Genomic DNA, 26,767 nt, shown 5'->3' on the forward strand with positions numbered 1-26,767 from the left:
GACTGGCCAGACATCAAAGGAAGTGTTTCCCTTATCAACATAATAAAAAGTTCCTGACAGTTTTATATGAATTAACCAACAGACCTTGATGTTCTTGAAAGAAGATAGCAGACCTTATGGGTCCATGAATAGTTGAGAGATGTTTTTCTTTGCTTAGAATTAGTACATTCAATTCTTCCTTATCTGATAAGGTCCAAGAGAGCCTGTTGCTTGGCTAGTAGGTACATGAGGAAGGAGCTGGGAGTGCTGGATGCTGACATACCACTAAAGAGGCAGTGCGGCTGTCTCCTGTGTGGAAAGTGCACACACCAAAGCCACAAGGAGAAGCGCTAGGTATAGAAGCCACTTCGTGAGACTGAAAAGAATGTCACGCATAACTAATATTACAGTGTATTATGTTAATTAGAAAATGCCTTATGACAAAGGTAACAATTTATTTCTCTAGAAAAACATTTTTCATTCTGAAGACCAACTCAAGCTTCACTTTTGCCTCTGCTCCTCTTCTGGTCTCACTGCTTGTGTGAGCTCACTGCCGTGCAAACCCCACCATCCCATGATCTTAATTCACCCTTTATTTTGGGATACAGTGCTCCCTTTCCTCCTGCATGAAGCCAACTTATTCAAGAGCATTCTGTCATCTATTTGGTTATATTTGCCAAACCATATCATCTGCCTTTAGAGCCCTAGATGTGTATTATATCTCTTCATAAGACAATATCTCAATACTTTAATATTTGAAACATCACCGTCAAAGAAAGCAAAACAAATGGCACGTGGTGTCCTTCACACTTGCTCTGTGAGTAGATTCCACCCAGGCCCCCTGGGCATTTCTGGGGCTCCTGAAGGCACCTGATTCTGCAGTTGGTACAGTGGTCTTGGGCCTCCTCTGCCTAATACTAGAGACTTCTTCCTTAAGGTCTTTGGGGCTCTTGGTCTCCCATTATTCTTTCTCAGTAAGTGCCTTTATATATATAAGAGCAGAAAAGGCCGGGCGCCGTGGCTCACGCCTGTAATCCCAGCACTTTGGGAGGCCGAGGCGGGCGGATCACGAGGTCAGGAGATCGAGACCATCCTGGCTAACACGGTGAAACCCCGTCTCTACTAAAAATACAAAAAAAAAATTAGCCGGGCGTGGTGGCGGGCGCCTGTAGTCCCAGCTACTCGGGAGGCTGAGGCAGGAGAATGGCGTGAACCCGGGAGGCGGAGCTTGCAGTGAGCCGAGATCGCACCACTGCACTCCAGCCTGGGCGACAGAGCGAGACTCCGTCTCAAAAAAAAAAAAAAAAAGAGCAGAAAAACTCACTTGCTCCCTGTTAAACAAAGCTTAGTATTAAATATAAGAAATCTTATGGCTCACGCCTGTAATCTCAGCACTTTGAGAGGCCAAGGCGGGCAGATCAGCTGAGGTCAGGAGTTCGATACCAGCCTGGCCAACAGGGCAAAGCCCCATCTCTACTAAAAATACAAAAATAGCTGGGTGTGGTGGTGGGCACCTGTAATCCCAGCTACTGGGAAGCTGAGGCAGGGAGAATTGCTTGAACCTGGGAGGTGGAGGTTGTAGTGAGCTGAGTTCAGGCACCATTGCACTCCAGCCTGGGTGACAGCCAGTCTCAAAAAAAGAAAATAATAATAATTTTAAATAATAAGATTTTATAAGAATTCTAAGAAATCTTGCTTGACATTATTTTTATTAAGTTATTATTTTAAAATCTTCAATGAAATAACAAGTGATGAACACTTATTTGTTCCACAAATAATGAAAGTCTACCATAGGTGAGACTCTACTAGGGGCCAGGAAAAGAGTAGTAAATGAAAAATGGCCTTTGCCTTAAGAGCATGACCTGTGAGGAGACCAGAATGCAAACGGGCAATTGTAGTGCAAGATGCGAAGTACCGTAGAAGGCCTGAGCACAGCAACCCAAGGGAGCTCACAGTGAGGGCCAACATTGGTTCTCAGAGGAAGATATTTATGAACTAAGACATGAAGGAAACAAGAAGGAGGTCATCAAGTGAAGCAGAGGAATTGGGTAAGAATTGCATTCTAGGCAGGGTGAGGACCACATGCAGCCCCAGGCTTGTTCTAAGTATCGTTGACCTCAAACCTTCCAGGGCTCAAAGGAGCCAAGCCTGGAAGTATGGGAAACAGCTTGTTTTCCAGACCGCATTGCTGGAAAGGCTAGCGTCCTTATCAAGCCAGAATGACGAGGCAGCCCTTTCTCAACCTTCTCTTGAAGTGATAATACTCCTATATGCCATCAGTTTATATCATGTCTTCAGATCACATGGTAAGTGTAAAATATACAACTTGACATAATTCATTACCTCCCAGCTCCAACTAAAGCTCTGTTTTCTACTGATGTGTGTGTCAATAACTATTAGACAGTCAGTCCCATTCGTTGAATAGACATAGTGTTTACAGCATTGTGTTCGATGGAATTTTAAATTTCAGACAAAAGGAGTTTATAATTCAGTCAAAAAATTATACTATTTGCATACTCATATGTCCCTGCGTGTGTGTGCATGCACACGTGCGCGCACACACACACACACACACACACACATAACTTAAGAATTACCAGAATGACAAATGTTCACACATAGTTGGTAGCGTTCGAAGAGTCAAGAGGAGCGGACGTATTCTCTAAGGAGCCAGGAGAAAGTCTGTTTGCAGTGTGTTCATTTTCTCCCTAGTAGGTCTTGTCATTGCCAACCAATCTGGTGAACTATCTCCTCCTTCCCAAACCCAGAAGCTGGATTCTTTCCGGTATACCTTTAGAATTTTAAGCCTTAGGCAGAAAGGAAAAACATCCCTCAGTGACATGCTATTAAGGGAGAGGATAAAACATGTGTAGAGTTTGTGGTATATAAGAGAATTAAGGTGACATGTGTTACAGATCAGTTTGACTTTCACTATGGATGACACTATTGGGCTTAGTCTCCATACTTCATGGTATTATACTGGGGGCTAAAGTTACAAAGATGTATTTAAAGAATAGACTTCAACCATATGTCAGAAGACTGGGAAATTAATGTATATTTATATATTTTAAGTTAAAATTAAATTTTATAGGTGTGTATCAACTTGTATCATTCTCAAACCTAACTGACTTTTGTGATTTACTTGCCTGGTTAAGACTGGCTGAGTTAAGAGGGCCATTACTATTAGTATACATGATACTCAGCTTAGTTGAGGAGACAAGATATATAAACAGAAAGGCAAAAATACAAAATAGCTTCTGATAAATGTTGAGTAAGTGGCTCACACAATAAGCCCAAGTAAGTTCAGAGATAGAAGGGTCAACTTGGGCCACAGTGACAGAAGAGGATTTTGTGGCTGAGGCAGGATCAAAGGTGAACTTTAAAAGTAAAGCTTTATTGATTACCTATTGTAACTGAAGTCATCTATGCTAATTATATATGTGGATTGATGGGGAATGTGGTTAAAAGAGAATTCTATACTTCACACTCATTAGGATAAGAAACAAAATAATATAAATAATAATAAAATGCAGTATATTCCAATATTAAAACCCTTTCTAGAGCATTCAATTATGGGAGCCTTGGTTAAGGCTCGATCTTGTCTTAACACTGTCTCAAGGTTTTTATTGTGCCCCATTTTTAAAGAAATGCTGCTTAGCTTTTTGGACTAGAATGGTATTTTAGTTTAATTCTCATCAGCCACTATTAGAAAGAATACAGATGTGAATATATGAATGAACTTTCAGCATCTCATCTGTCTTTCAGTAACAAGAGACTAATACTCTTTCTCCTCCGGTTACACAAAACCTTGTGAGAAGCTGCTATTCTTAGGTATGAGTTTTGGATGAATTTTAGCCTTTGTCTTTCCAAAATAATTATTTGGTTTACATTACAAAATAGACCTAAGTATTTCTTCGATTCGGCACCATCTAGATGTACCTATAGTTGTGACAGTATTTGAAAAGGCCAGGCATGGTGGCTCATGCCTGTAATCCCGGCACTTTGGGAGGCCAAGGCAGGCAAATTGCTTGAGCCCAGGAGTTCAAGACCAGCCTGGGCAATGTGGCAAAACCCCATCTCTACAAAACATTCAAAAATTAGCTGGGCGTGGTGGCAAACACCTGTGGTCTCAGCTACACAGGAGGCTGAGGTTAGAGGCTGCAGTGAGCCGTGATCATACCACTGCACTCTAGCCTGAGTGAGAGAGCGAGACCCTATCTGAAAAAAAAAAAAAATTTTTTTTTTAAGATTTTCTTTCATGCACACACATACAAAAAAAAAAAAAGAAAAGAAAAGGAAGGAAGGAAAGGGCAGAGGAAGTTATTTTAGAACAGGAAGCTGCCAATGTACTGGGAAAGCTTTAGAAAATTTTGCTAGTAGAAGATGATTCATTCTAAAGCGCATTGTTGCCTCATGTAAAAGATTCTCCAGAGTCTCTCTTAGCTTACAAAATAATTGGGTTTTGATCACAGCGAGGCTGAACACAGATCCCTTTCAGATGGATCAGGCTTGAGTTCTCAAGGGTAACCATGAGTCCAGCAGTTGCTGTAGCTGTCATTCCTCACCCCACAGCAGTGACTGTAACGTGTTCATCTGCCACTCTCCAGGAGCCTTCAACTTTGTTAAATCATTGTTTGTTCAATTTAAATGTAGCACTTCATGCCCACATCATCATCCAGCAACCCCAGATCCAAGGCTGGAACTGAGGCCCCTGACTGCAAACATTTACACACATCCTCAACCTAATTTCGTCAAAGTAGTTTGTATAACCCGGTTTTATTAAAGGGTGATTCGTGTACCCTGAGAACACTTCTCAGTTTGTCTTTCAGCCTTTGTTTTCACCCTAAACTGTGCTCTGTCTGGTGCAGAACTCCATGCTGATTCTCAAGTACCAAGCAGACACGCTTTGTGTCACTATCGTCATGTCTTGCTCCTTGTGTTTATATGGTGTGTGTCTGTATCAGTCTGCTTCTGTTCACTTTCTCGTTTATAGAGAACACTGAAAACCACTCTGAAACACCGGCAGCTCCTGCTCTACCTCCTTCTGCTCCTCCTAAGCCTAGACCCAAACCTAAACCCAAAAAATCACCTGTGCCTCCGAAAGGGGCCACTGCTGGGGCCAGCCACAAAGGTGATGAAGTGCCTCCCATTAAAAAAAATACCAAGGCTCCTGGTAAGCAGGCCCCCGTCCCTCCACCCAAGCCAGCAAGCCGAAACACGACCCGAGAGGCTGGTGAGTATGCCCCCAGTGCCCTGTGGGGTCACTTCTAGGGTGCTTGGCTCTGGGATGGGGCTAATTGTTTCTTCTAGGTGTGATGGGCTTTTGGTGTCTTAGGACATTACACCAGCAGGTTCAGCTTTGACACAAAGAATGCCCAGGAGATTCCTTTGTTGCTCTCTACCAAAGGAAATTCAACCCATTGAATAGTTCACCTCATTAGTTTTTGAGTGAATATACTGGTTTCATCTTGAGTATCCACTATCAGCACCAGTTGAAGGATACTGGGAGTAGTATGCCTGATGAATGACAATGATCTGATATAACATTATTTAGACATTGACTGACCTTCTACCTATATGAGCCTATGGGTGGCTTTTTGGCTTGGATTTTCTTTCAAAATATCTAAGGTTTGCATATAAAAATGTGACAATTATAACTTTGATATATTTACTGGATGTTAATGTGTTAAATCCTCAGCATCCATAGTCATCTCCCTTCTGATAAATGACAAAGGGTTCATGTCACTTGTTTCAGCTCCACCCCACCACTTTCTACTGCAGTGAAAACTATTTCAGTGGAGTGGAAAGTTACACTCTCAGTGTTCCACACCTCCCCTGTAGACTTGTGTGTTCTAAGGCAAAACATCCTGGTGTCATGTGGTTATAAGTTACTATTATAAATCACCAGTGGATGTTTGAGTGACCTGCAATAACTCATGCAATATGTATCCAGCTTTGCTTTACAATCAGATATGCTTGATGCAAAGTGGAAACTCCCATTTTTTTAGTGAAGAGGAAGAAAGATGCCTACCATGTCATTTATCTTTTAAAAGGACATTAATCAGGCCAGGCCCAGTGGCTCACACCCGTAATCCCAGCACTTTGGGAGGCTGATGCGGATCGATCACTTGAGGTCAGGAGTTCGAGACCAACCTGGTCAACATGGTGAAACCCTGTCTCTGCTAAAAATACAAGAATTAGCCAGGCGTCGTGGCGTGCACCTCTAATCCCAGCTACTCAGGAGGCTGAGGCAGGAAAATCGCTTGAACCCAGGAGGCAGAAGTTGCGGTGAGCTGAGATCGCGCCACTGCACTCCAGCCTGGGCGACAGAATGAGACTCCATCTCAAAAAAAAAAAATCTATTTTCCTTAAAATCAACAGCAACTTTCTAGCAGTTGACTGTCAGGATTTGCCTTGGTGTTGATCTTTTTCCTCTCATAATGTATGACCATAATGCTCAAATTCAGAGAGCGGTTTAGTTGACAGTATAACAGATCTCTGAATGCCAATAGACATCCCTCTCCCTGTGCTCCTCATGTCCCGCCTTTGACCTTTAGTGTCTGGGTCTCTTCTAATAAGCTCTAAACTGAAATTTCCCAGAATGATGTGCCAACAGTGCCCAGTGGCCATCTCCTCAGGGAGCAGCTGTCCTCACCCATCAGTGTCCATTCTTGTTGGGATCTGTGTGTGTTTTCTAGACTTCCTAGAAAACCCTAGAAGCACTGCTTAAAGTGAGGGAGGCACTGATCTTCTTCTTAAAGAACAGCCCCAAATGATCACTCTGTCATTGGGAATTAAGCTCCTGTCTTGCACTAACTTCTCCACTTTCCCATTCTCCACGTGGTAGTGGCTCACTCTGAACTCAGCTTGGACTCTCTTTACTTCCCTCAGAAGAAAGCCGATGATTAACACCAGGTCAGGGGACAGCTTTCATAAACGATTTTGAGGTTTTTCCAGATATTTTGCTTGAAGATTTATTTAGGCACTCATGATGCTCCTAAGAGAATAGTACAGTCATTTTATTCATTGTATTGTAAAAGGCCTGACTTTTCCAGAGGCTATCACAGAGAAAACAGGGGTTGCACTTAAGTACACCAACAAGCCCATCATGTAAGAATCGTTTTATCAAATATTGATAATATCCCTTTATGATCCTACTGATAGTCCATTTGTAACCGTTTAGAACTTTCTGCATAGTAACTTTGTTTTATTTGAATAATATGGACCTTCTAGAAAAGTTTGTTCAAATGCTACTCTTGATGTTCAGCCCAGTGATTTAAGTTGTTAAAACAACCATAAGTTAAGATTCTTTCTCTATTACTAAGTTAGTGTAGACCTGTAGCTACCTAGGTATCGGTTTTAGAACATTCAGCTTCTTTGCCAGAGAAATCGGGTTAAATCTCCTTGATTTTTGTTTCTCATTGTTACACATTATTAACAACAAAAGTACTTAACTGAGGAGAGGCGACATTTTTTTTTATCATGCCCTTAATTGAAGGTAACTTAAGCAACATGTTTGATTTCAACAAAGACCTGTTATTTAAGAAGATTCTTTAAGAAAAACTATAATGTGGCTTGAATTTGCACTCTGGGCAGTGAAAAAAAATGTATCTTTTTCCTCAAGCCAAACTAAAATTAACTTTTCTGTTAATGATGAAAGAATTTTATTGGCCAGGCATTGTGACTCACACCTGTAATCCCAGCACTTTGGGAGGCCGAGGCAGGTGGATCACCTGAGGTCAAGAGTTCGAGACCAGCCTGTACAACATGGTGAAACCCCATCTCTACTAAAAATACAAAAATTACCCAGGCGTGGTGGTGGGCACCTGTAATCCCAACTATTTGGGAGACTGAGGCAGGAGAATCACTTGAACCCGGGAGGCAGAGGTTGCAGTGAGCCAAGATTGTGCCACTGCACTCCAGTCTGGGTGACAGAGGGAGACTCTGTCTCAAAAAAAACAAAAAAAAAGAATTTTCTTTAACAAATTATTAGAATTGTTATGTGGAAAGGATTCTGTTTAACTTAGCTAAGAAAATAATTGAACATGGTTAGGCACCGAATCCTTAGCGTCTTTGTTGTGAAAAGTAAATGTAGACTGGACTTAGATTGAAGGAGTGTGCTTAATGAGTTTGACTTCTAGGCTAGGGAAGGTTGTTTTCTATAAAGTAACAGGTCTAGATTTGGGGAAGAAGAATTCTAGTTATGTATATCTTAAACGATAAAGACCCCAAAACCATAGGGATTCCTTTTAAGCCTGGAACCTGTCACTAAATAAGACTGGCTTCTTTAGTATCAGTCTAATCAGAATAAATGAAGTCTTACATCTCATTGTCTATTCTTTCATTTATTCTTCATCTCTTCACCCTCCCAATTGACTTCAATAAAGTCATAACTGGAGGTAAGTTATAATAACATCTGTATACAGTGTGGATTGGCTTCACAATGCTAACAAGATGTTTTCTAATCGTTCTGTGAAAGATAGTTGAACCCTTCATGAAGAGAAGGAGCATAACAACATTATAACAGAAGAAGCCATTAGGATAAATTTATAGGTCATGAAAGAAAAGAGTATTCTCATAGGAGTTTATTTTATCATCATATATTTACTAAGATGACATAAAGAAAAAAGTAGTTAATCTTTTTGTTTTGAAACTGTTTTGATTGAGGGTGCCCTATCCGGAAGTAGGCAAATATACCATAGCTATCCTTCGATGAAGACCTTCTTGGAACTTAAGCATTAAGGAAGATCACATTTGCGAAGGTGGAGTCAGAAGACCTGAGAATGATATCCTTTCCATTCACATTATTTAGAACCAGACACGGTGGCTCACACCTGTAATTCTTTGGAGCCACCAAAGCCTCTCACTTTGGGAGGCTGAGATGGGTGAATCCCTTGAGCCCAGGAGTTCAAGACCAGCCTGGGCAACATGACAAAACCCTGTCTCAACAAAAATACATTAAAGTTAGCCAGGCATGGTGGTACACACCTGTAGTCCCAGCTACTCAGGAGGCTAAGGCAGGAGGATCACTTGAGCCCAGGAGGCAGAAGTTATAGTGAGCCGATATTGCACCACTGCATTCCAGCCTGGGCGACAGAACAAGACCTTGTCTCAAAAAAAAAAAAAAAAAGGAGCAACCCATGTAAATAGGTTTTGTAAACAACAAGTTTTTTTCTGGCCTTTTGATGCTTTGAAGGGAGTGTACCTTTCCTGTGTGGCCATGGGTTTTCCCTTTACCCCATCTCTACTGCAGATGGAAGTAGAGTCCAGCATGGCGAGCTTTCTTCTCTGGAGCTACTGGAAAGCTGGTGTGGATTTTCTCTTTTAGCAGTAAGATGAGTGATTTTGTTTTTGACCCAGAAAGAAGCTGGATATATACCCCAGTCTCTTCTGAATACAGGCCACCACTCTATTCCTAGAAAGACAGCATAGAACATGTATAATTTATGATGAGCCTAATTGTGTGCTACACCCAGCTAGCTGCTGATGTCTGTCCTTTACGCACCATAACATTCCTTCTTGAGAGCATACCGGGCTTTTTTCAAGTGAACCATAGACAAGGGGCAGAAGATTCTCCCTTTGGCTGGCTCAGCTAAAGACTAAAGTGAGAGAAGACAGAGGACTCTTGTTCCTCTGAGTTTTGCCGTAAATATCACTTGCTCCTTGCTGGATTGGAGGAAGGGAGGGGCAGAAGACAAGACTATTATCATGATTAGCCTATTTTCTCTTATACATTTATTCAACAAACTTTAAAGGGAACATTTTAAATGTTGTTGACAGTTACACCTTGGTTACTTTATTTTAAAAAGCATTGTATTCTTTGATTTTTTAATGCAAGGTCTCTCTATTGTAGCTGGCTCCTCTCATTCAAAAAAAACAACTGGCTCTAAAGCATCAGCTTCGCCATCCACTTCATCCACCTCATCTCGTCCCAAAGCTTCAAAGGAGACAGTTTCTAGCAAAGCAGGGACAGTGGGGACCACCAAGGGCAAGAGAAAAACTGACAAGCAGCCAATAACTTCTCACCTGTCCTCAGACACAACAACTTCTGGCACATCCGACCTGAAAGGAGAGCCTGCAGAGACCAGAGTGGAGAGTTTCAAACTCGAACAGACTGTCCCTGGAGCTGAGGAGCAGAACACAGGCAAATTCAAGTCCATGGTCCCTCCACCCCCTGTGGCTCCAGCACCTTCTCCTCTGGCCCCCCCTCTCCCTCTTGAGGATCAGTGCATTACTGCCTCAGACACTCCAGTTGTCCTCGTCAGCGTTGGAGCTGACCTGCCCGTCTCTGCCTTAGACCCAAGTCAGCTTCTTTGGGCTGAAGAGCCGACGAACAGAACCACTCTCTACTCAGGCACTGGCTTAAGTGTTAACAGAGAAAATGCAAAATGGTGAGTTGGGGAACAAACCCCCTATTTTATCTGAGAACTAAAGATCACTAATATATTCTGTTGGAAATGAAGCACCGGGTTTGCTTTCTTATATAATTTAATCTACTGAGTGTTAGGTAGGCATACATGTGATCCAACCATTGCTTTGTCAGAGCCCTGCCCTGGGAATGCCTAGGGCTGCTGGAGAAAATTACATTGGTAGAGCTGACAAATACCACTTGAGATCAATGTTTTCAAGTACACTTAGAACCTGCTTCAGCACTGCTCAGCAGTCCACAGTTCCCTTCTCTTTCCTTTCAGTGCTTATTTTAAATCTTTACTTTACCATTGTGCTTACCTACTCATGTCAGCAAGTTACTGAGCCTTCCCCTTCACCAAGAACATAAAGAAGATCAGAAGAGAACTCTCAAATTTGAACTCTTTTTTCTCCATCAGTAGAGTTGTCCCCTTTCTTGTTCCTTTAAATTCCCACCCAGCTTAAATGTTATGTCCTCTGTGAAGCCATTCAGTACTTCTAGACAGAATTGGTTATTGTGTCTACTATACTTAACCCTGTGGGACAGAATTAGCCAACATGTCTTACATAAGACACCTCTGTGTGCCCAGCAACCACTCCAGAGTCTGATATGCCATAGGCACACAAAGGATGCTCATTGAATTGTTGAAAGAAAATAAAAAAGGGATTTAAGATGGTTATAGATAAAGTCAGCCTACTTTAACATTGCGGAAGCAGCATTGAAGATAAGATGACCCTATTGCTAGATTTTGTAGAGTATAATGGAAGATAAAAGATAGTGCTCAAGTAGTCTTAGTTTCATTTAAGAAGGTACCTGAACAAAATGGGCCAAGGAACTCAATGTTACCTCACCCTCATCCAGTTGGTGGGTTAGTTGCTTTACCACCACCCAGTTGCCCAAGCTGGAAACCTGGGGTTCATCCAAGGGTCCTCATTCTCTTTCATTCTTTGCATTTCATCACTCACAAAGTCCTATAAATATTCTACTTACAGGTAAATAAAACATATTAGCCCTGTCTCACGAGTATGAAGGGATGGATGGCTGTCAGAGTATAGTAGACGCAATGATAAATTCTGTCTGGCAAAGGCTTAGAGCTCTTGCATCCTGGCTTTTTGCTCCTGAGTCTAAGAACAAAACCTGTATTCATTGTTCAAATCATGTAAAAGGTTCTCTTTCAAAACAATCTGTCATGTTAGACTTAAAAAAAATTATTACATTAATTAGGTTGGTTTTGGTCAAGAAACTAAAATATCAACTTTAATTCTTTAATTGCTAATGATAATAACCTTTATTTATTGAATACTCATTTAGTGTCAGGAACTAAGCACTGTACATGTATTATCATTTTATTTACACAAGTCTTCCCAAAAGTATCCCTGTTTTATAGATAAGAAAACTGGCACTGAGAGAGCTAAAATAGTTTGCACCAGACTGCCCAGTTGGTGGTGGTGAAGCCAGAATGCATACCCAATTCCATGCTCTGAATGAATAATTTCATGTTTTCCAAAGCAGTGGCTTCTACTTCTACTGCCATTTCTCTTCTGTTAGTTTCTTTGGGTTTTTTTAAGTCATTTTGAGCACCAATATTTGAAGGACAGCCAAGAAAAAATAAATGTCAAATTACAAATTAATTTATTTTCTTTGTTTGACATTTTAATAAAAGATATGGGAAAAGAAGATTTATTGAAATGAACGGTTATGGTGTCTTTCTTAGGACATTTTGTGCTGCTGTAATAGAGTACCTGAGACTGGGTAATTTATAATGATTAGAATATTGGCTTACAGTCCTAGGGGCTGAGAAGTCCAAGATCAAGGCAGCAGCATTTGGCAAGGATCTTCTTTCCATGTCATCACATGGTGGAAGGTGGAAGGGCAGAGAGCACAACAGAGTGAACCTACCCCTGTGAGCCCTTTTGAAAATGGCATTAATCTATTCACGAGGGCAGAGCCTTCATGACTTAAACACCTCCCACTAGGCCCTACCTCTCAACACTTTCACACTGAGGATGAAGGTTTTTGTTTTGTTTTGTTTTGTTTTTTGAGACAGAATCTTGCACTGTCACCCAGGCTGGAGTACAGTGGCATGATCTCGGCTCACCTCAACCTCTGCCTCCCAGGTTCAAGCAATTCTCCTGCCTCAGCCTCCCCAGTAACTGGAACTACGGGTGCCTGCCACCACGCCTGGCTAATTTTTGTATTTTTAGTAGAGATGGGGTTTCACCATATAGGCCAAGCTGGTCTTGAACTCTTGACCTTGTGATCCGCCTGCCTCAGCCTTCCAAAGTGCTGGGACTACAGGCGTGAGCCACCATACCCAGCTAGGATTAAATTTTAACCCATGAATTCTGAGGGACACATTCAAACCCTAGGAGCATTCTTAATACTTCCAGCACACAGCAAATGTCTTCATTTAACTATAGTGAGTATTTTCCAACATTGCCATCACTTCCAACCATTAGAACTGAACATTCATTCTTACAGCATATATTTTTTGATTGCCTTTTCTGTGCTGGGCAATGTACTAAGCACCAAGGATACAAAAGTGAGCAAGGCAATATAGTTAAGACTAGCTTTTACCAAAATATTGTCTGATGTGCCCAGGAAGTATAATGTTTAAGGTAACATCTGAATTTTGGGAACTAGATTGGGTATACGGGATTATTGTTCAATATACTAAAGAATAAGGTGCAACATGTAAAGTGTTTCCTGATATAGTCTTAAACACTCAGAGAGCTCATATCCAAAGGTGGCCTGACTCTATCCCGTTCATTTCCACAAATATTTAAGGAGTTCATTTTATTGTGCTAAACAACACACAACATACTAAGGGCTTAATATCAGTCTTCATCTCAAGTATATGAAGAACTGTCAGACCAAAGAGGTAAGCATCTGTTCTTCATTCCTACTGGGACTATAATCAGAGGGAGTGAGCTTAGTACATCATTAGCCATTGAGGCTATTTATAATAGATATTCCTGTCCATCAAGGTAGTTATAATGCTTTCCTAGAAGAGGCCATAGGGATTTTCTTCTCTGTATATTCTTCAAAATTTAAATTTCAGTTCATCCTACAGGGATGGTTTGTGTTTGCTCTTGAATTAATGAACCTGGAGTAAGTAGTCTCTCAAATTTCCTTCCAAATTCCTTCTGCCTTTTTCAAGTGGATATTTGGATTAGAATATCTGGCTCTTAGTCACTTTCTTTACTTAGAACTTTCCTTCTGAGTTATGTTTCATCAACTAATGTGTGAAAATCTTGTCATTTTATGAAGAGACTTCTGTTTGGAATACAAATATCAAAACTTTCAAGAAGACAAGTGGCTATGTATAAAAATACCTACCTCTCTTCCCATATGGCAGGGTACTAATTATTTGGTAGGCTTCCATTCATGGGCAGCTTCATCAGTAACACATATGTGTGATACAATATAAGGTGAAAACTAATAAGCCCATTTGGAGGCCATATCCAAAAGGCTACTTTGTACAGTTCATTTTCACAAACATGTATAGAATGCACTATATTGTCCAGTGTGCCCAGGAACCCGAGGGGGAAAAATGAGGGGTAAGTCATGAGTTGATTAATACAAATTTGGAATATATTTAACATCAGATATAATTTATAACATAACTCATTAAGTGTAAAATATAATAGTATAATAAATGTAAAATTTAATAGGTAGACCGAGTCTTCAGTCTGGATTCTAGACAAGACTTGCTACCTTGGTTAGGCAACTCACTCATGGTCTTCTTTGATTCCATGAACTATAAGTTATCTGCCCTCCTTATACAATAGAATACTTGTAAATTGTAGATGTATGCTGGACTCTTTGAAAACCATGAAACAAAATACAAATAGTAAGATTAGAATAATAATCAATATGATAATTAATTAGTGAACAATGACACCAACAAATAAAGGACTCATCTCTCAAATTTGTTCTGTTATTCAGAACATATTATTAATTGGCATGTATTTTAAACATTCTGTGATCACCCATAATGGCAGCCAATTCAAACAAGAATGGCTTCCAGTGGCAATCAACTAAAAACCCAGACTGTGGAAAATTTTTCCTATAAAAATAGATCTTCTCTTATTTAAGATGAGATTTCACACTGTGGAAAACAGTATGGTGGTTCTTCAAAAAATTAAACATAGAATTACCATGTGATCCAGCAATTCTACTTCCATGTATATAGCCAAAATAATTGAAAGCAGGCACTTGAATTTGTACACCAGTGCTCAAAGCAGTATTATTCACAATAGCCAAAAGGTGAAAACATACAGATGTGTATTGATTGGTGAATGGATAAACAAAATGTGTTATATACATAGAGTGGAATATCATTCAGCCTTAAAAAGGAAGCAGATTCTCACACATGCTACGACATGAATGAAGGAACCTTGAAGACATTATGCTAAGTGAAGTATGTTACATACAAAAAGACAAACATTGTATAATTTCTCTTAGAGAAGGTGCTTAGAATAGTCAAATTATAGAGACAAAAAGTAGAATGGTAGTTGCCAATGGCTGGGAGATAATGGTTATGGGGAGTTGTTTAATGGGTAGAGTTTCAATTTGGGAAGACGAAAAAGTTCTGAAGATGGTTGGTGGTGGTAGTTACACGGTAATGTGAATGTGTCTAATGCCAGTGAACTGTACACTTAAAACTGGTTAAAATGGCAAATTTTATGTTATGTATATTTTACACAATAAAAATGAGATTTCCTATTTCCCTGTTTGAGAACAAGAATATAGTCTGTTGGGTTTTTCTGATAAGTGAGAAACAAAATTTTGACAGTGATCACTCAGGTTTATAACTATGAAGTAGGGTTTTAAATACCTCATATTCTGATAAAGTTTATCTGTGTTTATTGCTGGAAGAACTTTTTACCAGAAAGCAATTTGGGGGATCTTTGTGTCTTAAAATGAAGATTACATTATTTTTGATGTGATGTTTTTATGTAAATTACTATGTATTTTTTAGTCTAGTCTTTGAAAATTGGCAATCTTTGTACATTAATAGTAACTCTTTAAATCATAGACTTTTACTAGGCTAAATAATAGAAAATTATTGCTTCCTTGCATATCACCTTTTTTCTTTCTTTCTTTCTTTTTTTTTTTTTTTTGAGATGGAGTCTCGCTCTGTCACCCAGGCTAGAGTCATATTACCTTTTTTCTAAAAAGTGTATTTAACTTGCACATTGTCTGTTATGTTACAAGAGGCAGTTTTAAAAATGAAAACACACATAGGATAAATGAGTTTTTACTATTTACATATTGGGATAAAAGCAGGATTAATTCATATATGTACTTTACATATATATATATGTATATATATATATGTATATATATATATATGTATATATATATATATGTGTGTATATATATATATATATATATATATATATATATATATATATGCTTTTTTTTATTTTTTTGAGACAGGGTCTCACTCTGTTACCCAGGCTGGAGTACAGTGGTGCTAGCATGGCTCACTGCAGTCTCGATTTCCCAGGCTCAAGCAATCCTTCCCAGGCTCAAGCTGGGACTACAGGCAAGCGCCACCATGCCCAGCTAATTTTTTATTATTTTATTTTATTTTATTTTATTTATGTATTTATTTAATTTATTTATTTTTGAGACGGAGTTTTGCTCTTGTTGCCCAGGCTGGAGTGCAATGGCGCGATCTTGGCTCACTGCAACCTCCACCTCCCGGGTTCAAGCGATTCTCCTGCCTCAGCCTCCCGAGTAGTTGGGACTACAGGTGCCGGCCACCACTGCTGGCTAATATTTTGTATTTTTAGTGGAGACAAGGTCCCCTATGTTGCCCAGGCTGGTCTTGAACTCCTAGGCTCAAGTGATTCTCCCACTTCAGCCTTCCAAAGTGCTGGAGTTACAGGTGTGAGCCACCGAACCCAGCCATATATTAATGAAAGAAGATGTACTTTTCTACGTCATTACCTTCTGGGTGCTGTGATGCAAAACAATGAGTCTCACTTTTCCAGGAACTTGTGGGATTGAGAAGGCAGAGAAGCAATGGGTGGTCAAGATGTAGTATGCTAAGCACTCTAGCGGGATCGTCTTCAGGTCCCCATGGGACAGACGTGGGGGCAAGGAATTAAACTGAAGGTCCATGAAAGCTTCCTGAAGGAGCTGAGGCTGTAGCTGACACTTGAAGGAAAAAATAATTTGCAAAATGTAGTTTTACCCTATTTGTTTGCTAAATGTATCAGATACCAAGCGTTTGCATTTTACAGATGAAAAATGTAAAACCTTGAGAATTAAGGTTTCATTTCAGTGACTTTAGCCTGGCCTATGTCAAGTGTCTGCTTTCCTCAGCCTGAAGGAAGCCCATGAAACTAGAGCTCTTTTTCTTAGTGTCAGTGCCGCCAAGGGTTGCTCTGAGCTTCACATCACTCCCATGCTTTTCTGCCTTTAACAGTTTCACAACCAAAGAGGAGCTGGGGAAGACAGTGCCTCAGCTACTGACTCCTGGGCTGATGGGCGAATCTTCAGAATCCTTTAGTGCCTCAGAAGATGAAGGCCACAGGGAATACCAAGCCAATGACTCTGACTCGGACGGGCCTATCTTGTACACCGATGATGAGGACGAAGACGAAGATGAGGATGGCAGTGGAGAAAGTAAGACTGTTTTCAAGAGGCAGGGAGGAGCGTGGGTGATAAGCAGAAGCAGCTGCAGTTTATAAAGAATAAAAGCCTCATTAGGAACCAGACATCTGATGTTTTCTTTCCCCTCATCCTCCTTTCTCAAATTAGAAATGTGTATATCCTAAAGTTTAGCTTTTGATGGGAGGCCTTTCCAGAAGATGATGTCACATGGCTGGATCTGGCCTTTGTCGATGAGCTAGATGAGCTAGATGTGCTAGATGTGCATATTAGTATTTGTGCTGAGAATCAAAGCTTTCTAATAACAGAGACCTTTCTCACTATGACCAAAGAGAGCCCTTCCACTCTGGGCCTGTTGTTGAAGAAAGAAAGTCAGTGCAGATTCATAGGCTTACTCATTGGAGGTGTTTGAAATTTTCACTCGCTTTTGTACTGGGGTTTATAGAAAGGGGAAGGAGGAATGAGTCAAGAATGCCAAATACCTCATTAGCATTAAGAGGCTGGGCACGGTGGCTCATGTCTAATTTTGGGAGGCTAACGTGGGTGAATCCCTTGAGGTCAGGAGTTCGAGACTAGCCTAGCCAACATGGCGAAGCCCTATCTTTACTAAAAATACAAAATCCAGATGGGCATGCTAGCGCACGCCTGTAATTCCAGCTGCTCGGGAGGCTGAGGCAGGAGAATCGCTTGAACCCAGGAGGCAGAAGTTGCACTGAGCTGAGATCGCGCCACTGCACTCCAGCCTGGGAGACAGAGCGAGACTCCATCTCAAAAAATAATAATAAAAAGAATGCTAAATACCTTGCTAGCATTAAAAAAAATCATACTTCCACAATAAGTAAGATAGTAGGCCTTCTAGGAAATAATAATATCATTTATGTATTAAAAATAATGGCAAAAACCACAATTACTTTTGCATCAACCTAATATAACTTAGAGATATGGAAAGTGCTTTTATTTTTTTTTAACTTTGTGCTGGATAACATGGGAGGGATTCACTGTGGACTGAATTTGTAGATTATGGCAAGTTATTACTATATTAGTGATTAAATGGCACTTTTTCAAATCCCTTTTAATTTGCATGGAGCAAAAAAAAAAAAAAACCATTATCATCCATGTGGTGTTACTTATCATTTGTTGAAATTTTCAGGATTCTGGGGTAATTAAGGGTTAAACATTGGTAGACTCTGCCAGGATGGCGTCTGAGTAGAGGAAAGGAGGAGACAAGGATTAACTGTACAGAATAAAAGCAAAAGAACTAAGTTTTTTAAACTTGAAAAAGAAACAGAATTGTGCAATCATTCATTTCTATGATCCACCCTCTCAGCAAAATAAACTGCAGCTATCACTTTCCAAACGATGAAGTGATACTTCTAAGTTTTTTCATGGTGTCCCAATATTTTTCAGAACATTAAAAAGAAATAGCGCTTCAGTCCTCTCAAAATGAACTGCATCCAACTCAAAGTCTTTTTTTCCTTAGGTTAATTAAGATTCTCCTCCTGCATGAGGAGAAAGAATTTGGTCTGGGCTCTATTTAAAGTCCATGCCATGTGTAACCTGAGTGCCACTGGCTAAAAGCCTCTCTCTCTGCATTTCTGCTCTTTTTCAATCCTCAGGTGCTTTGGCAAGTAAAATACGCCGGAGGGATACTCTTGCTATCAAACTTGGCAACAGACCATCTAAGAAAGAACTAGAGGACAAAAACATCTTGCAGCGTACATCTGAAGAAGAGAGGCAGGAAATCCGACAACAAATTGGAACCAAGTTAGTCAGGTAATTGCTAACATTTTAGGACAGTACTGACTAATTTGTATTTTTCTCCCTCCCAAAGCTTCCTACCTAACTGGGGTCATTGTGAATTCCTTATGTACAGATACATCTGGCCTACTGGGTCTTTTAAAGTTGGTCTTGCATGATGAAACACTCGAAGAACCTGTCCTTTGGCCCAGCTAGCCAGTGGCTTTGAGGTCACCAAAGCCTATTCCAGGAGTCAAAAACTTTTTTTTAAAGACCAGTTGGCAAACATTTCAGGCTTTGCTGGCCAGACAGTCTCTGTTGCAGCTACTCAACTGCGCTGCTGTAGCATAAAAGCAGCCATAAATAATAGATAAACAAATGAGTGTGGCCATGTTCCAATAAAACTTTATTTATTCATAAAGCTGGATTTGGCCTGCAGATCACAGTTTGCTCAACAATCCTGGCCTAATTTATGGACTCACTAGCATTCCTGGGAATGCCATGAGGTTCTGCCCTGTGGACTGTGAGACTGCAGAAATATTATTTGCCTTCAATGGTCTGCCTCCATCCAAGTCAGGTAGCCTTAACCCTCATATCTGAACATCCCTCTTCCAACTTCAAGTAAATGGATCATCTGACATCTCTTCCTGCCTCCAACCATTGTATAGGATTTTTGCTTTTGCCACTGGTGACTTTACAAGTCCCTTTAACTGGCAGTTTTAATAGAAGTGAGCATTCATGCCAGAGGTCTTATTTTTGATGATCAGTTTAAGCACATGTAAGAATTAGTTGTTCTGCTGACTTGTCTTACTCTGCATACACAACAGGGTGCATAACTGGGAGAAAGGAACTGTCTAGAATCCCAGAGCAGGATTTGGAGGTGGGGGGAAAATTGCTGTCCTTGCTTGGAAGTGGTATAACTGGAGGCAGGATTGGCATGGAGGCTGCTGACCATTTCTCCAGAGGAAGAGTAACCCCTAAGGCACCTCCTTACAGCTGAGTTGTGCAGAAAGGTGTCAGAGACAGCAGCTGTGGCATCTATCTGAAGGAAAAGCACAGCCTACCAGGGAACCTCGGGGGAGGCTTAGAGGGTCTCTCTGTTCTGTAAACCCTCTTGCGACTCTGGAAGAAATTTGGGAATGTTTACCAGTGGTCTCTCTCGCTCTCGTCTTCTTAATTCAGCCCTAACCTGTGACCATTTCTGGCTTCGGGAAAAAGCCAGCAGAAGCAAGAGGGACTAACGTGATTAATGGTATCGAGCTGGAAAAACCTACAGTTCTAAACTTGCCATCTTACCAAGGAAAAACAAGGGGCCTCTCTGAGGCCCAGAGAGATTAAGGAAATGTCTCAAGGACAGACATGCAGTTACTGAGTAGCAGAACCAGAATTAGAATTTCGCTCCTGGGCTCTCTGCCCAATTTTCTTTTGTATACTGTCTCCTGTTTTGTACTTTCTACTCTATGTAAGAGAGTATATGCTTCTAGGTTTTCTGATTGTTTTATTACTCTTGTTTATGTTTTACTATGAAGAAGAATGTAAATCATTGAATAATATTTGCATAAAATAATAATAGTGTTATCATAGTAAGGAGTAAAAAAGTGTGAAGTATCCTATACCCACCTCAATAAATGTCAAAGTAGCAGTAAAGAAAATTTTGTAAGTTTTTGTTAAAATCCTAAACAAACGAGGAGTTGTAATCCCAGCACTTTGGGAGGCCAAGGCAGGCAGATCACCTGAGGTCAGGAGTTCAAGACCGGCCTGGCCAACATGGCGAAATACCGTTTCTACTAAAAATACAAATATTAGCCAGCTATGATGACTGGCACCTGTAATCCCAGCTACTCAGGAGGCTGAGGCAGTAATTTTGGAGGCAGAGGTTGCAGTGAGCCGAGATTGTACCACTGCACACCAGCCTGGGCAACAGAGTGAGACTCCATCTCAAAAAAAATGTAAAAATAAATTTAAAAAATATATACTAAATATCTTACTATAGGGAGAAACCCTAAAGTCATTTCCTTTAAAAACAGAAGCAAAGAAAAATTCCTTAACCTTACTGTGCTAAAAGTCTGGTCACAATTATTTGTGGTGAAGAAAAGGTATAAATTGTAGGAAAGATATACTGTTATTATACATGGTTGTATACCTAGAAAGCTCTAAAAACTGACCCAAAATTGCTATATATAATGATTTCAGCAGGTTTGCTTGATGTAAGATTAACCTATAAAAATCAACATTATGTTTATATAACATTGTTACATAGAAGAAAATACAATGAAAAAGGGAGATTGCGTTCACGGCATAGCAACAACCGCATTTTAAATACTTAACTATTCACAGGCAGAAGTCCGTAGTCAGGTACCTAGCTAACATCCAGGCCGATCTGTTGCTAGAAGGAAAGGAGACTGTGTAATGGGGGTCAGTGAGCAGCCTCAGCCATGATCTGTAGGCCCACACATACCTGGTTTGAACCACTGCAGTTTTTGGTCTCTGCTACAGCTTAGCTTATAGTCTAATTAATATATAGCTCATTAGGGTCTAAAATAGGATGCTGTGCCTGGCCAGGTAATCTTAATATTACTGTCACATGACACTCCCCAGGTAGGTGAGCGATCCAGTATGGTGGGAGCATGGCTCCTTGAAGTCTGCCTGGCAGCCCCATTCCTTCTGTCTTGCTGCTCTCCCATCCCCTAGATGGTCTCAGCTGCATGATCAAAGCTGGCTCACACCATCATGCTGAAGTTCTAGCCTGTGGAAAAAGGAAAGAGAAAGAAGGGAGCATGCACCCAGGCATTTTAAGGATGAGAAGGGGAAGTAACAAACATCATTCTGCTCACATCCCATTGCAGAAACTCAGTCACAGCACGATACCTGGCTTCTAGGGAGGCAGAAGTCTGTAGTCAGGTACCTAGCTAACATCCAGGCCGCTCTGTTGCTAAAAGGAAAGGAGACTGTGTAATGGGGGTCGGTGAGCAGCCTCAGCCATGATCTGTAGTCTCCAAACTAATGGGAAGGAGACTTTTATTTTGCAGCTTTAAAAATGGATTTTTATTTCTCAAAACATGAAAAATAGAGCTTTGTTGTTTTATTCTGAGTCTCCTACTAGGGTACCTTGTTTTTAACCTGTAATATATCCTTTTTGTCATCATAGGAGGCTGAGCCAGAGGCCCACAACTGAAGAATTAGAGCAAAGAAACATCCTAAAACGTGAGTATTCTATACTATAGAATGATTCCTTGTGTAATCGCTAACAAGCTGCCTCTACAGATGATCGATTTATCAGTAAGAAACCATCATATATTCATTTACTCAAGATGGACTGAAATAGTCCATTTATGTCACATTTATATGTAATTGTTTATATATTTTTTTAATTTCTTGAATTTGATATTTGATTTTATGGCTTTGAGCCTTATACCCGCCCCTAGAGCAGAGTCATGGTCATGACAATTGTGTTTAAGAAAGATGAAATATATTCCATGTATTCTTTCACCCAAATATTAAATAGAAAAAGAATGCTCTAGTCTTCTCGCAAATAAATGTCAAAGAAAAGGCCAAAAGAATCCACAAGGAAACAAATCAAACATTCCTATATTATTATTAACAATACAGTTTGTTGCTAGTTTAACAAATGGCTCAATTCAAAACAAAATTTTCAATCCATTGCATTTTCCTATGTTATGATAACTCGGCTTCCTTCTTGAGTTGTTTATAATTTCTCAGCACTAAAACGTTCTCCATTCATTTTCCTACTTTATTTTCCCATTCTGTTTTTCCCTCTGTTCTCTTTGACTTTAGTTTTTACTCATCCCTGCAGTAGTATTTATTGGAGTTAGTATGTTAAAGCTATAAAGCTAATAGAAATACAGTTTGTCATGCTATTGTGTGTCAGTGTGGACAGGCACTGCAGTGAGTTAAGAAACGGATATTTTTAAATTGAGCCTAGCTGTAGTTTTATATATTGTTAACCCAGTTTCAAAAGATCTTTTTATTGTATGAAATATCAAAGAACAGGGATGGGTAAAACTCCGGCTAGTACTGCAATGGTAGTGACCCATGGTGTGGGGGAAATCCTTGTCAGCCAGGCTTTTCGAGTTATCTTGGCCTGCTAGAAGACCCCTCTTCTCCAATCTAAGATACTTTCTTTCCTTTAGGGAAGAAAGATTTTAGTAGCATATTGTATTACAGTTGTTAGTACGAAATCAATTCAACAATGAAAATGAACTACCATCCAGTGAGAGGAACTACCATCCACCCAGTCTATGGGATCACTTTCTTTGGAATGCTTTTTTCTGGCTTTTTTTTTTTTGACATAACTAGAATACAGCTCCAGGAAGGACTTAAGTGGCTACTAATGTATAGAAGAGCCAATTTGGAGGAGGAAAAATTCACGGCTAGAAAAGAAGGAAAATTTTGTGTTTTTGCTTTGCTGAGGAAGAGTAGAAGCAGCATCTCATTTTGACACAAAACAAACCAAAAAGGTTCATTGCTTTTCATGATAGGTTCCTGGGAAATGCTTGTTGAATTAAGTTTTAAGCATGCTCAAATGCAGACCCTACGCTCCTAAAAAACACAGAGATTATGTCTTACTGGATGCCTGATCCAATACCTAGAAGAAAAAGGGAAGAGCACATTTTGGGTAATTCTTTCTTGATCCTGTGAGATAAATAGTGCCAAACCACAATGGAGTTTGGTTATCTGAGGAACTGTTTCATAGATCTAGAAACTTACCGCGTGTTGATCTTAAGTGCTGCATTGGCCTTTATATCCCATTTTCCTGGAGGTTTGGGAAAGAGTGAGACACTTCAGATTTGACTCCAGCCCTTTTTTTCCTTCCTTCTAAGTTCACCTAAGCATATTTATTTCTGGAAACAGAGGCATATTTCCAGCCTAGAGAGGCTGATAACTGGCTTATGATTTCCTGACCCACTATTGTACAGCCAAGGGAGGCAGAAGAAAACTGGGAGAGGTCATCTTTCCCTGAGCAGTCACAGGAAACTGAATGGCCTAACTTACAAACACTCTACTCAGCCCGTTTGTGTCTTGGTTCTTCCACATAGATTGCTCTTGTTCGTTTGTTTGTATGTTTCATCTCCAGCTTTTGTTCAAGAACAGTAGAAAAGTATGTGATACAGTGTGGTTTTTAAGGACGTTTACTTTAACTAGGTCATCTTTTTTTTTTTTTTTTTCTGAGACGGAGCCTTGCTCTGTTGCCCAGGCTGGAGGGCAGTGGCACTATCTCGGCTCACTGCAACCCCGCCTCCTGGGTTCAAGTGATTTTCCTGCCTCAGTCGTCCCGAGTAGCTGGGACTACAGGTGCGCATCACCATGCCTGGCTAATTTTTGTATTTTTAGTAGAGGTGGAGTTTTGCTATGTTGGCCAGGCTGGTCTCGAACTCCTGACTTCGTGATTCGCCCACCTTGGCCTCCCAAAGTGCTGGGATTACGGGTGTAAGCCACCGTGCCCGGCCCTAACTAGGGCATCTTTTCTGGCAAACTAGAAAACTAATTCACAGAATAAAACATTCAACAATTTTTAGAGCCCATCACTAGTTCAATAAACATGAGTCAGATGCCAATAAATGTCATTAGTTTTCATTGGTGACCACAGGACAAATTATATTTCTTAGTGTCAATTCACCATGCCAGTCCTTACTTGATGTCTTTCCTAATTATTTTGGTGATACTAGAGCTTTTTAAAAAGACATATTACATATACGTATTTATATTATATTATATTATATTATATTATATTATATTATATTATATTATATTTAGTTATTCATTTTAGAACCAGTTCCTAAAAACTGATAAAATAGAAAGCAACTTTTGGTACTTAAAAGTTCAACTTTTGCTAATCAAGAAAGGTGATGTATTTAGCTGAGAATGTAATTCTAGCCATGTCTTCTATAGAGAAAAATGAATTAGGCCATTGAGTTCTGCATATATTTTTCCCCAACATTTTATTATGAAAATTTTTAAACATGAAGAAAAGTTGGAGGAATTTTACAGTAAATCCGCATATATCTACCATCTATAGTCTGTCATTAACATCTTGCTTTATGACATATCTATGCATCTGTTGATCCAGCTTTTTTTAATGCACTTTAAGTTTATGTGTGTCTTTTTCATTTGCTAAAAACACCCATATGAGGCCAGGTAAGGTGGCTTATGCCTGTAATCCCAAAGCCTTGTGAGGCCAAGGCAGGAGAATTGCTTGATGCCAGGAGTTTGAGACCAGCCTGGGCAATATAGTGAGATCTCATCTCCACCAAAAATTGAAAAAACAAAACATCTACATGGAAACATGTAAAAAGCAGAAAGAAAAACAAATCCACAAAAAAATTTGGCTTTTTGAACCCATTTTATCTGAATTAACAACTCAAGAAGATAATACTCCAATTGCTGGTATTTTTATACTTTTCTTTCTTCTTTTAGCTCATCCACAAAATTCTCTGGGTAACATTGCTCGCTAGGCGGGTTTCCTGTGGTGCTTGCTGCTGTTTAACCACATGTATTATTTGTTTATTTATCGGAAATGCTTCTTGCGGGTCGTCCGAAATGTTCGCCCCTCTCTGCTCTGATGAGAGTCACTGAGAGCAAGATTTGTCAATGAACCACGTCACTTCCTTCATGCATATCCCACCAGCCTGTTTAAATTGACCAGAAAGATTTGCATCCTACTTTATAATTAGTCCTCTAGTGAATCAAAAAATGAAGGAAGCATACAAAAAACTTGGTGTATTTTCAAATACTGAGTTTAAGGTTTAAACTTGACTCTATGAGAGATTTTACAATGACTGTTTAATAAGATTCAGAGAAGCTGTCATGGTAGCTCATGCTGGTAATCCCAGCTACTTGGGATGCTGAGGCGGGAGGATCACTTGAGTCCTGGAGATCAAGACAAGCTTGGACTACATAGGGACAGCCCATCTCTACAAGATGAAAGTAAAGATTCAGAGGAACAGTCATGTTGGCTTCCCTCTACCTCTCACCCTCGTCCTCTAACTTCACTAAAAGTACAATTTTGAACATGGAAAACTTAAAGAAATCAGTTTCTGATGTCAAAAATGAATTCAATTCCCTAACTGCATTTGGCCCTTCTCTTTTTAGACATCACTGTTACCTGGTAGCACTAGCTGAACAATATGCTTAATAAGGCAAAACTTTCAAATATTCCCTTCAAGGAAATATCATTTTTGCGTATTTAATGACGACTGGAGCATTTGTTAGCTTTGGGATGTATTATATCCAATTTTTTAATCTTTGAAAAGTACCTTAAAAATATAGCATAAATACTGTATAGGAAGAATTGACAAAAATGTTCTCAGAATTATATTTTTCTTTTTATTAATAATGTCATCAATATCACTAACAATATCATCACTTTTTATCAACAATATCAACAATGTTATTTTCACTATCGTGTCACCTTGTAAAGCTCTGGTTTAAATCACAAGAACCACAGTGTGGCATTTGTTTATTATGTATTTTGACAATCCACAAGCTTTATCCAACTCATATGAGGTAATTCTTTGAACCTAAGTATGCATTTTTAAGGATATGAAAGGATATATATTTTGTGAAGCAATTAAAACCCTAGAGTACTTTCATAGGAAGAAATTTAAATTATAACCAAATTTGTTTGACTGGCACAAAATGAAAGGATATTAACTCATTGTTTCTTGTCTTGTGGATGATTACAGTTTATGTCCACTCTTTGTCTAATCACCTTCTTTCTTATGCATTAAAGTTATTATTTCAGAAGAACATAGAAACTTTTCCCTGTTCAGAGAAGGAAAACTGATAGAGAATTTAGCCTGTTCAACTAACAAATACAGCTGTTGCAAATATTGAATACTGATATGTTATTCACAGTAAAAATAATCTTAGTTGTAAGAAGTCTATTTGAATTATAAAATAAATATATTTCATACCTGTCATGGATTAAAAAAATTTTTTTTAATTGAACCCGGGAAGCGGAGGTTGCGGTGAGCCAAGATCGCGCCACTGCACTCT

General features: G+C 39.7%; 1 protein-coding gene across 8 annotated transcripts in view; it reads left to right on the plus strand.

The window, feature by feature from the left end:
* Positions 1-26,767, plus strand: part of PHACTR2 (phosphatase and actin regulator 2) — a 294,308-nt gene that overhangs the window by 218,551 nt on the left and 48,990 nt on the right. For 5 of the 8 annotated variants that reach the window (NR_172204.1, NM_001394736.1, NM_001100166.2 and 2 more), the window contains 4 exons: positions 9,833-10,370; positions 16,830-17,029; positions 18,631-18,787; positions 21,900-21,955. Coding sequence is in view for 6 of the 8 variants with exons in the window: in NM_001394736.1 (NP_001381665.1) it covers positions 9,833-10,370; positions 16,830-17,029; positions 18,631-18,787; positions 21,900-21,955 (951 nt within the window). In the remaining 2 variants the exon portion in view is untranslated. Of the gene's footprint in view, positions 1-4,972; positions 5,213-9,832; positions 10,371-16,829; positions 17,030-18,630; positions 18,788-21,899; positions 21,956-26,767 lie in introns of all 8 variants that reach the window. The other 3 variants (NR_172205.1, NM_014721.3, NM_001100164.2) reach the window with 1 other exon arrangement.

This window comes from Homo sapiens, chromosome 6, assembly GCF_000001405.40.
Source record: "Homo sapiens chromosome 6, GRCh38.p14 Primary Assembly".
Classification (NCBI taxonomy): domain Eukaryota; kingdom Metazoa; phylum Chordata; class Mammalia; order Primates; family Hominidae; genus Homo; species Homo sapiens.